Below are 12,382 nucleotides of genomic sequence, written 5' to 3' on the forward strand. Positions count from 1 at the left end.
CCATATTCTTTTACATGGCCATAAAGTACCAAATAGGTCCATTGCATGTTGAGATGGAAGTATTTCAGCATATTAAGTGGATCTTGTTTTCCTAGTGACTGGTATTACTTACTGAGGTGAAAGTATGGGAAGACATTATTGGCTTATGAATGTTGCAATAATTAAGAATATTGTAGGAATTCTATAAAAATCACATTTGAAAAACTTTCTAAAATTAATATTTTGTGTTACCTAATTATTTATCACAATTAAAATACTGAAAAGCTAACATTACCAGAAATCTGCCATTTTGCCACATGTTATTTTCCCTAATAGGGATTATGTTTTTACATTTTTTCAGCAGCCAAACTACAAACTTTTTTAGCTGATTGTTCTGCTCTCTTCTCATATACTTTCACTTTTTTTTTGGACTAGGGAAAATTCTCAAAGAATATTCACTTATTTTATACTGTAGGCCTTTTTTTCTAGATATGTATTGGAAAGTTAGCATTTAGAAGAAGTGATTAGGAAGAATATGGAGTTTCAGTTTTAGAAAATGTGTTACTGGAAGAACACGTTTTTTTCCGATTTAACTATTTGTGGGAGATAAATTTTTTTAAATGGAGGCTGATTTGAAAGAGCACTTTTCTGAGATCCGTCTGCTGTCAATCTAGGCCCTTTTACTTCATTTCAGTTTCTGCCCGTATGCCATCCTTGATTGCCTCATCTGAAAGCATTGCCGTCCCCTCAACCCTATGTGCTTTATTTCCTTAATCTGTTTTATTTTTCTTCATAACACTTACACTGTTAGGATAGTACTTATTTTCTGTCTTTTTCCATTAGAATGTAAGCTCCATGAGGGTGGGACCTTTTCTGCTTTGTTTGCTCTTTTCCAGTGCCCAGCAGTGGCACATATGTTGTAGCCATTTGAAAAATAATTTTTAAGTGAGGAAATTGCATGAACCAATATGTATAATTGGAGCGTTCAATAATGAGGATCTGAAGGATGATTCTTTGATGTAGATACTTTTGATAGACCTATTTTCGTAGAGATAATTTCAATTTTTTAATGCAGTGATATCATTTTTGACATTTAGGGATACTTGTTATATATTAAGTTGCATGGCACTTAAGTTGTACCATTCTCTCTATATTTAAAGCATACCATTTTTGTCATATCATTAGCCTTCTGTATCTGTAGGTTCCACATCTGCAAGTTCAGCCAACCATGGATCAAAAATATTTAAAATAAATAAAATTTTAAAACAGTACAATAAGAAATAATACAAATTTAAAAATACAGTAAAACTATTTACATAGCATTTACATTGTATTATTATAATTAATCTAGATATTAAAGTATATGGAAGGATGTGCATAGGTTATATGCAAATACTATGCCATTTTATATAAGGGACTTGAGCATCCTTGGATTTTGGTACCTGCAGGGGGTCCTAGAACCAATCCCCATGGAAACTGAGGAAGAATTGACTTTTAATATATTATTGTAGCTTTAAAAAAAAGTGTAGTCAGTGATGGTTTTCCCTTATAAAAATACTTTGTTTTTTGAGAATGGAGCTCATCTTTTATACCTTATCATATTGACTAAGAAAAAGATGGTGGTGTGAGATACTCCTTCACTTGTTAGCCCTATTCATAAAGGAGAGTTATGACCGTAACAGTTGTATTTGGATTTTATTTGGTAAATTTCATTTAAGTAAAGGAGACATAGATATGTAGGCATGCGTACTATACAAATGACATTAGCCAAATCATAATCTGTTTAAAACTTGGCATGTCCCAAATTCAAAAGTCTGAAATACAGAATGCTCTACAATCTGAAACCTTTCGAGTGTGGACATGACATTCAAAGGAAATGCTTGTTGGAACATTTTGGATTTCAAATTTTTGGATTTGGGTTGCTCATCTGGTAAGTATAAATGCAAATATTCCAAAACTTGAAAAAATCTAAAATCTGTAACACTTCTGGTTTCTAACCATTTTGCATAAGGGATACCCAACCTTCATGTGTATTAAAAACCTTTCAACGTGGAGTTCTTCTTCTTAAACGGAGGCTACAGCTATGTAATGATTATTTTTCTAAAAATTTTAGATCAACCAGATGGCAACAGCACCAGATTCTCAGAGATTAAAGCTATTAAGAGAAGTAGCTGGTACTAGAGTGTATGACGAACGAAAGGAAGAAAGCATCTCCTTAATGAAAGAAACAGGTAAAATAAATGTGATTCTGCCTTATTTTTTTGTTGCAAATTACTGTTTTTGTGACAGAGTGGCTCCATGATGGGAATATAGTAGGTGTTTAGTATATGACAGCATTAGATAATGCTGTTATTAATAAAAATTGAGAATCCATAACACCAATGATGTTAGTAGCTTTTAAAAATATTGTGGAAACGCACACTGACTTTTTTTTTTTTTTTTTTTGAGATGGAGTCTTGCTCTGTCACCCAGGCTGGAGTGCAGTGGCGCGATCTCTGCTTATTGCAACCTCTGCCTCCCGGGTTCAAGTGATTCTCCTGCCTCAGCCTCCCTGAGTAGCTGGGATTACAGGTGCCCACCACCATACTCAGTTAATTTTTGTATTTTTAGTAGAGACAGGGTTTCACCATGTTGTCCAGGCTGATCTCGAACTCCTGACTTCAGATGATCCACCTGCCTTGGCCTCTCAAAGTGCTGGGATTACTCATGAGCCACTGCGCCTGGCCGGCACACTGACTTTTTAAAAGGAAGCTTAAACTGAGGCCCTTACTACATGTTATAAAAGAACCAGTGTCACCATGTGTAAATTTGTTCTCTGGTGCTTTTCATAATAAAGGATCTTAACCCATTTATGCCTAGCATTCCATTATTGGAATCCTAAGCTTGTGGATGTTACTTATATTCTACTGCTCAAGGTCATTGCCAAGGTCTGATTTTTCACAGAAAAAAATTTGCAACCTCTGGCATAAATGGGTTAATTGCTATTTTAGTATTTTAAATTGGGTTACCACATCACATCAAAGAAATAATGCTACAGTTCTTAAAAATAATTTAATTCAAGGTATATTTAAGAAGTGATATTACATAAAAATCTTATTCAATTCTTCCACCTCTCTCCCCATTTCTTTTAAGAGGGCAAACGGGAAAAAATCAATGAGTTGTTAAAATACATTGAAGAGAGATTACATACTCTAGAGGAAGAAAAGGAAGAACTAGCTCAGTATCAGAAGTGGGATAAAATGAGACGAGCCCTGGAATATACCATTTACAATCAGGAACTTAACGAGACTCGTGCCAAACTTGATGAGGTAAAATATTTACCTGTGACACTTAAAATCAGATTAATTTTGTTTTTATGAATTTGTTAAACTCAGGCCATAATTACACTTTTCAGTGATTTTAAATAGAAACTTAAAAAAAACCTCTCAATGAATTTATTAGTCAGCAAGTTTTTTTAGTTCAAGGAAATTAGCCATGTGGTCCTTGCTATATAGTATTATCTGAAATATAATCAGATGGTGGTATTAGGCAGACAAGATGAGAGGAAAGCCATTTTGAAGGCTTCTTGTAGTTGTAGTATATCCTAAACTACACATTTTGTACAAAAATTTAGTGCTTCAGTTTTCTAGTTTAAAATCATTTTTAAAATTTTTGTAGAAAATTTGAGCAGTTACTTTTGGTTTATTTTAATAGAAAAATTTTTATTAGATGTTATGAAATATTTAGTAATTACAAAATGAGTTAGATATGATAAGTTGTTTTTTTTCTTAGCTTTCTGCTAAGCGAGAGACTAGTGGAGAAAAATCCAGACAATTAAGAGATGCTCAGCAGGATGCAAGAGATAAAATGGAGGTAAGATTATAAACAAGGTTCATGTTAACTTACTTTTTACTTTTGAGACAGGGTCTTGTTCTGTCATCCAGGCTGGAGTACAGTGGTGCCATCATGGCTCATTGTAGCCTTGACTTCCTGGGCTCAGGCAATCCTCTTGCCGCAGCTTCCTGAATAGCTGGAGCACAGGTGTGTACCACCACACCTGTCTAGTTTTTAAATATATTGTAGAGACAAGGTCTTACCATGTTGCCCAGGCTGGTCACAAACTCCTGGGCTCAAGTGGTCCTTCTGCCTCAGCCTCCTGAAGTTTTTTTTTTTTTTTTGGAAGACAGGGTCTCACTCCATTGCACAGGCTGGAGTGCAGTGGTGAGATCACAGCTCACTGCAGCCTTGATCTCTCAAGCTCAAGTGATCCTCCCACCTCAGCCTCCTATTTTTGTTATTTTTTGAAGAGATGGAATCTCAGTATGTTGCCCAGGCTGGTTTTGAACTCCTGGGTTCAAGGAGTCCTCCCACCTGGGCCTCCCAAAGTGCTGAGTTTACAGGCATGAGCAACCATGTCCAGCCATCGTATGTTTTTGACCATAGTAAACCCTTTTGTACCAGAATTATGGAATGATTACACAAGGGAGAGTTAGAGGAATTGAATATTGAAAGGACAGAGTATTACTAAACATTAAGTGAAAGAGAATTAATGGTGTCACAATTCTGCTATTGTACTTCTAATTGCCTTATTTTCTGTTTAATACTTTTGAATAGGATATCGAACGCCAAGTTAGAGAATTGAAAACAAAAATTTCAGCTATGAAAGAAGAAAAAGAACAGCTTAGTGCTGAAAGACAAGAGCAGATTAAGCAGAGGACTAAGTTGGAGCTTAAAGCCAAGGATTTACAAGATGAACTAGCAGGCAATAGTGAACAAAGGGTAAGTTAAAATGCTAAAAATGAAAGATGTGAATGTTCAGGTGAGTAGCAACTGTAGAAGACAGCCCTTTCTGTGACTGGTGTGTGTTGGAATTTTTTTTTAAGCTTTGCTACGTTAGCATAATTTGTACTCAAGTAACAACTTGGTACTGTCCCTTTGTTTCTTACATTAAAAAAGAGTTTCATGTTACAGGTGGGTTTTCTCATGAAGTTTTTTTCCTGAGAAAACATTTATGCTAGACCTAAATTATGCAAAAAATTTAAAGCAGTTTGCATTTTTACTTTGTTTACAGAAACGTTTATTAAAAGAGAGGCAGAAGCTGCTTGAAAAAATAGAAGAAAAGCAGAAAGAACTGGCAGAAACAGAACCCAAATTCAACAGTGTGAAAGAGAAAGAAGAACGAGGAATTGCTAGGTCTGAGAACTTTCACCAACACTTTAACTTTCTACATCATATTATGTAAAACTAGGTTGTCCGAGGAGCTCAATTATATAGTAGCTGCTTTTTACACTTAATTCTTTTTGTATCTTTTTGAAAAATGGCTTTATGTTTCTGTGTGCAGTTGACATTATTGGTTGCAATTAAACTTGGTTATTATTCTCCTTTTCATCCCATTTGCTTCTATTTTGTGTAGATTGGCTCAAGCTACCCAGGAAAGAACGGATCTTTATGCAAAGCAGGGTCGAGGAAGCCAGTTTACATCAAAAGAAGAAAGGGATAAGTGGATTAAAAAGGAACTCAAGTCTTTAGATCAGGCTATTAATGACAAGAAAAGACAGATTGCTGCTATACATAAGGATTTGGAAGACACTGAAGCAAATAAAGAGAAAAATCTGGAGCAGTATAATGTAAGAACTTCTATAGCTGCTTTGTAAAAATCTTTCAGAAGAGATAAATGTGTTTAGTTTTATCTACTTCAAGTTTTCTTTTTAAATAAGTCTACATGTTGCTCTTAAAATATATGACAGATACTTATTTAGAAAAGGCCTGCACAGTTTAATATACATATAGTTCTTTTTTAAAGAATATTCATGTCATTGAGCCTTTATGTAGATTAAGTATATTAAAATGTATGTATGTATTTTTAATTTTTTTGAGATAGGGTCTTGTTCTGTCACCCAATCTGGAGTGCAGTGGTACAAACACAACTCACTGCAGCCTCCACCTTCCAGGCTCAGCGATCCTCCATCCTTAGCCTCCTAACTGGGACCACAGGCATGTATCACCAGGCCCAGCAAAATTTTTATTTATTTTTTTGTAGAGACGAGGTCTTGCCATGTAGCCTAGGCTGGTCTCGAAATCTTGGGCTTAAGCAATCCTCCGACCTTGGCCTCCCAAAGTGGTGGGATTAGAGGCATGAGCCACTGTGCCCAGCTTAAAATATGTTTTTATGAATTGGTAGCATGTGTCTTACATACCCTTAATTTAACAAGATGTCACAACATATGTCTAAAATAGCTTGTTGGTAACTTTTTTTTTTTGAGATGGAGTTTGGCTCTTGTTGCCCAGGCTAGAGTGCAATGGCGCAATTTCGGCTCACTGCAACCTCAGCCTCCTGAGTAGCTGGGATTACAGGCATGCACCACCAAGCCCAGCTAATTTTGTATTTTTAGTAGAGATGGGGTTTCTCCATGTTGGTCAGGCTGCTCTCAAACTCCCAACCTCAGGTGATCTGCCTGCCTCAGCCTCCCAAAGTGCTGGGGTTACAGGCGTGAGCCACCGTGCCCAGCTGATAGTAACAATTTTTTTTTTTTTTTTTTAATACGAGTCTCACTGTGTCACCCAGTCTGGAGTGCAGTGGCATGATCTCAGCTCACTGCAACCTCCACCTCCTGAGTTCAAGCAATTCTCTGCCTCAGCCTCCCGAGTGGCTGGGATTACAGGTGCCTGCCACCACGCCCGGCTAATTTTTTTGTATTTTTAGTAGAGGTGGGGTTTCACCATCTTGGCCAGGCTGGTCTTGAACTCCTGACCTCGAGATCCACCCACCTCAGCCTTCCTAAGTGCTGGGATTGCAGGCGTGAGCCACCATGCCCGGTGTAATTTTTTTTTTTTAAAACTTCATTTTTTGGTATTCCAGCATCTTATGTTACATTTAGTTGTCATGTTTCTTTTATCTGCTTTAATCTGGACCAGTTCTTCAGTTTTTTCTTGACTTTTGGGACTTGACATTTTAAATTATTTGTTATAAAGTACATATATTAATATTTATGTACTTATTAATTGTATATTATATATAATTATTTGTCCCTAATCTCTTTTTTTTGGAGATGGAGTGTTGCTCTGTCGCCCAGGCTGGAGTGCAGTGGCGCGATCTCGGCTCACTGCACCCTCCGCTTCCCGGGTTCAAGCAATTCTCCTGCGTCAGCCTCCCAAGTAGCTGGGACCACAGGCACATGCCACCACGCCTGGCTAATTTTTTGTATTTTTAGTAGAATGGCGTTTCACTGTGTTAGCCAGGATGGTCTTGATCTCTTGACCTTGTGACCTGCCTGCCTCGGCCTCCCAAAGTGCTGGGATTATAGGTGTGAGCCACCATGCCTGGCCCCTAATCTGTTATAGTGATTTGCCCACTTTAAGTTTTTGGTGACTCACCTTTAAATGTATCCAAAACCTCAGTGAAGTTTTAAAGAAAGAGCTGTTTACTTTGTACTCATATTCTCACTTTACATAAAGAAAAAAATATATAGTGGGGAGAAAACACAACAGCCTCTGTAGGCATAAACAATAGGTAGGTAAAATTGCGAGGAGTGTAGCCTGCTGTTTTTGGAAGTCCAGTCGTGCTGTGGGTTTTAGTTGTGATACTTTGTGGAAGGAGTGGAAAAGTTGGGTTAATCCAGGCAGTTCTTTATATGGTTAGTATAGTCTGAACTGATAGTTAACACCTCCTTTCTTGAAATAAAATGAGTTTTCTCTTGAGTTTATGAAACCAACCTCAGCAGATGCCCTTTTTGAAGGTGCCTCCAGTGAGAGAATTTATTCATTTTTTGTCATGCTTGAAGTTCATTATTTTCCAGTATTCCAGCCACACTTTTGGTTATCAGAATGACCACTTGTAAAGATGAAGCCTTTCCTTTGGACAGAGATGATTTTATGGCGCTGATTTTGTTATGTAAATAGCCTTTTTTTTGAGACAGCCCCACTCTGTTGCCAGGCTGGAGTGCAATGGTGCGATCTTGGCTCACTGCAACTTCTGCCTCCTGGGTTCAAGCGATTCTCCTACCTCAGCCTCCCATGTAGCTGAGATTACAGGCGCCCGCCACTGCTCCCGGCTAATTTTTGTATTTTAGTAGAGACAGGGTTTCACCATGTTGGTCAGGCTGTTCTCGAACTCCTGACCTCAGGTGATCCGCCCACCTGAGCCTCCCAAAGTGCTGGGATTACAGGCGTGAGCCACCGCGCCCGGTGTAAATAGGCTTTTGCCTCTTGGTATAATCCTAAATTAATTTTTCCACAGTGTATTTTTAAAACCTGCAGTATGAAAAATAAAATGTCTTTTTGGTGGTTTTATTATGCTTTATTACAGTTCATTTATGTGATACATATCCTACATACTTATCAAACTTAAGTTTTTAGACTTTTCTAACTTATGTCAGTGGTATCTTGGCCGTAGCAACTGCTGTGGAGAAGGGGAAGCTCTTAGATAGTTTCAGTGCAAACTAAATGTTTTCTCTTTTCCAGGTTGTAATGCATTTAATAAAGTCTACAAAACATTATATTTTGAATTTAATATAGGTAGCTTACTTTATTACTGGTTCTGAGTAGCATCATGGTGTCAGAAAGGGAACCATTAGTGTTCAGATACACCTGGAAAAAAACAAAGTATGTAGGACTTAAGAAATACTGTAAGCTGCCAGGCGCAGTGGCTTACGCCTGTAATCCCAGCACTTTGGGAGGCCGAGGTGGACGGATCACGAGGTCAGGAGATCGAGACCATCCATCCTGGCTAACACGGTGAAACCACATCTCTACTAAAAAATATAAAAAATTAGCTGGGCGTGGTGGCGGGCGCCTGTAGTGCCAGCTACTCGGGGGGCTGAGGCAGGAGAATGGCGTGAACCTGGGAGGCAGAGCTTGCAGTGAGCCAAGATTGCACCACTGCACTCCAGCCTGGACGACAGAGCGAGACTCCGTCTCAAAGAAAAAAAAAAAAAAAAAGAAATATTGTAAGCTGTAATGCTAGTTAATAACACAACAGTCTGAATTGTTTAGGACTGTAAAAGTTGAAACATTAATTTAGGAAAACTGACTCTTCAAGGTTTATACTCTTCTTTTAGCATGTGTTCAGATAGCCTGGGGATGAATTAAGTAATTGCTGCAGAAAAGTTAAATTTTACCTAGGGAATTTGTTAACTCTTTTATGGTTTCAGATACCACTGAGTCCCAAATTCCTTATGTGTAGAATTAAAGGGTTTAATTATCCAAGATGTTAAAAGTCATTCTGATTATCCAAGATTTTTTGAGACAGAGTCTCGCTGTGTCACCAGGTTGGAGTGCAGTGACACAATCTCAGCTCACTGCAACCTCCCCATCCTGGGTTCAAGTGATTCTCCTGCCTCAGCCTCCCCCAGTAGCTGGGACTACAGGCGTGTGCCATCACGCCTGGCTAATTTTTGTATTTTCAGTAGAGACGGGGTTTCACGATGTTGCCCAGGATGGTCTCCATCTCTTGACTTCATGAGCTGCCCACCTCGGCCTCCCAAAGTGCTGGGATTACAGGTGTGAGCCACCGCGCCCGGCCAATCTAAGATTTTGTGACTCAGTAGTAACATTGACTTTTTGTCAGTGGAATTAGTAGTAACATTGACTTTTGTCCATTAAAATTTTGGACAAAAAGTCAGTGTTACTACTGAGGATGAATAATTGTCAGTACTCTGTGGGAATATTTACAATTACTTTGATATCTGACAATAATTAGTTATAATACAAACAGATGAATGTAATTACTTTATGAAGCAGTTTGAAGCCCTTCCCCTGAAGGATGATCTTCAGCTTTATTTTGCTTGTCTTATTGCTTCCCAGTAAGGCAAGGATTTTTGTTTGCTTTGGTCTTTTATGATTCCCCAGCTCTTCTAAGAATGCCTGGTACATACTGGGGTTTTGGTAACTTCACTAAGTGGATGAAGTGTCAGCTTCCTTAAACTCTAGCCAGTGAGGCTATTGGATTTTTTCAGCTCAGTATAGTCTACTAAATTAATGAATACAGTTCATTAATTCTCCTTAAGGAAACAGCATCTTACGTTAGGTTCTTAGAGATTTGTTATAGGTTCTGCCAAGATTTTTAACTCATTTTTCTTGAATGTAAAATAGTTGAAAATAGTTTTTGTGTTCTGTTGTGTGTGTGTGTAGAGGGGGCAGTATGAAAGTATATAATGGACTATTATGAGAACTTAGAATTTTTTTTCTAAAATTCTGGAGTGTATATTATAGAAATAGGAAGATTTAGATCACTAATGAACAAATTAACTTTTAGCAACATGTTTTATAGTATTTAATGGTTTGTGTTTTCTGGTGTGGTATGCTCTTTTGCCTAAAGACAACTTTTAAAAACTGAAATGGGGCCGGGCGCAGTGTCTCACGCCTGTAATCTCAGCACTTTGGGAGGCCGAGACGGGCGGATCATGAGGTCAGGAGATCGAGACCATCCTGGCTAACACGGTGAAACTCCGTCTCTACTAAAAATACAAAAAACAAAAAAAACAAACTGAAATTGGATTTTTCAACAGCATCATTGAGGTATAATTCACATACAGTAAATTGTACATATTTAGTGTACATCATTTTTCCTAGTCAGGAAAGTGGCAAAAATAAAGTATATAATTTGATGAGTTTTGACATACGTATACATCTGTAAAACACCACACAGTTAAGACACCACACACCACAGTTAAGACAATAAACACGTTTATTACCCAAAAGCGTTTTCCATACCCCTTTGTAATTCCTCCCTCACCTTTTGTCCGCCTCCCCCATCCATCTGCAACCACTGATCTGCTTTCTATCAGTGTAGATTAGTTTCATGAAATTGAATTTTAAATTTATTTTTATTTCCATAGAAACTGGACCAGGATCTTAATGAAGTCAAAGCTCGAGTAGAAGAACTGGACAGAAAATATTACGAAGTAAAAAATAAGAAAGATGAACTACAAAGTGAAAGAAAGTTAGTATAGACTAAAATGTGCATTAATGTTTTCAGTAATGTTCGTTACTAGCTGTTATGTGGTCTTTAAGTTACAAGTTAACCGGTCAGGCTTGTTTTCTGTATTTTGATTCTAAACTGTATACTGTTAATGCATCCTCATATGTGTTTAAAATTAAAGACAGTCTACTTTTTATTTATTAGCTACTTGTGGAGAGAAGAGAATGCAGAACAGCAAGCACTTGCTGCTAAAAGAGAAGATCTTGAAAAGAAGCAACAACTTCTTAGAGCAGCAACAGGAAAGGTGGGCAGGTTCTTTTCATCACCTCTGTTTACACTGAGTCATTGAGTTAATCGTTATGTAATAATTTTTTACCTTTCAAGGTGTAGGTCATGGGTTCCAAGTGATAAATAGGAGTCCAAATTATCTTCTAAATATGAAATGATAGAGATTAAATAGTTTTATTACTACACATACTATTAATAGCACTTTTGATGTTCAGATAAAGAGCCCATTTTTAACACTACTGTTATGGAACAGAGCCTATCATATAAGGTGTTACATGTAGTTGGCATATTGTGAGGAGGTGATGTGTTTGTTGGAGAGGATGTTTAGTTTAATCACTGGTATATTTTTAAAATGTATGGTGTTGTGGGCTCATTCCTTACCAGGAGTGCCATTGATGATATTATTTTAATATTTTTCATTTCTGACAACTTACAGGCCATTTTAAATGGAATAGACAGCATAAACAAAGTGCTAGACCACTTCCGTCGAAAAGGAATAAACCAGCATGTTCAAAATGGCTATCATGGTATTGTAATGAATAACTTTGAATGTGAACCAGCTTTCTACACATGCGTGGAAGTCACTGCTGGAAACAGGTTAAAGCTTTTGCTTGATATTTAGCATTTTTAGAAGAGGGAATAAGAATAGCTTAAACAACTTTTGTAGTTTTTGTACAACATATCTTCCATTATCTTTTTATATCTCGGTTCCTTAACTTTCTAATTAAAGAAGTAGATGCTAAGTATTTGTTCCTAATTATAGAAGCTAGAACTTTCCTCTTTTGGGAGTTTCTCCCTCCCCGCCATTGGAATTTTTAAAGTAGTCTTATTTTCCAAAATTATTTGGATTATATAGGAAAAAACTGTTTGATGCTTAAGTGTTTATAACATTTTAAAAGTGCACACCTTTAGTCCCAGCTATGCAGGAGGCTGAGGTGGGAGGATTGATAAGTTTGGGCAACATAGGGAGACCCTGAGTACCAATAAAGATTTGTCTTACTCTGTTTATATTTAGGTTATTTTATCACATTGTTGATTCAGATGAAGTCAGCACGAAGATTTTAATGGAGTTTAATAAAATGAATCTTCCTGGAGAGGTTACTTTTCTGCCTCTTAACAAGTTAGATGTCAGGGATACAGCCTATCCTGAAACCAATGTGAGTCATTGTGTGATAAGGTGTATTTCTCTTTTATAATGTTATTTTTTATCACATAATC

The 12,382-nt window shown here is 37.2% G+C and overlaps 1 protein-coding gene across 1 annotated transcript in view; it reads left to right on the forward strand.

The window, feature by feature from the left end:
- The window catches only part of SMC3 (structural maintenance of chromosomes 3), a 38,354-nt gene that overhangs the window by 11,117 nt on the left and 14,855 nt on the right, over nucleotides 1-12,382 (forward strand). Inside the window, exons 8-17 of the mRNA NM_005445.4 lie at nucleotides 2,093-2,210; nucleotides 3,112-3,287; nucleotides 3,751-3,831; nucleotides 4,573-4,737; nucleotides 5,030-5,151; nucleotides 5,372-5,585; nucleotides 10,794-10,897; nucleotides 11,081-11,180; nucleotides 11,601-11,761; nucleotides 12,180-12,321. Of these exons, the coding sequence (NP_005436.1) occupies nucleotides 2,093-2,210; nucleotides 3,112-3,287; nucleotides 3,751-3,831; nucleotides 4,573-4,737; nucleotides 5,030-5,151; nucleotides 5,372-5,585; nucleotides 10,794-10,897; nucleotides 11,081-11,180; nucleotides 11,601-11,761; nucleotides 12,180-12,321 (1,383 nt within the window). The remainder of the gene's footprint in view (nucleotides 1-2,092; nucleotides 2,211-3,111; nucleotides 3,288-3,750; nucleotides 3,832-4,572; nucleotides 4,738-5,029; nucleotides 5,152-5,371; nucleotides 5,586-10,793; nucleotides 10,898-11,080; nucleotides 11,181-11,600; nucleotides 11,762-12,179; nucleotides 12,322-12,382) is intronic.

This window comes from Homo sapiens, chromosome 10 (assembly GCF_000001405.40).
Source record: "Homo sapiens chromosome 10, GRCh38.p14 Primary Assembly".
NCBI lineage: Eukaryota > Metazoa > Chordata > Mammalia > Primates > Hominidae > Homo > Homo sapiens.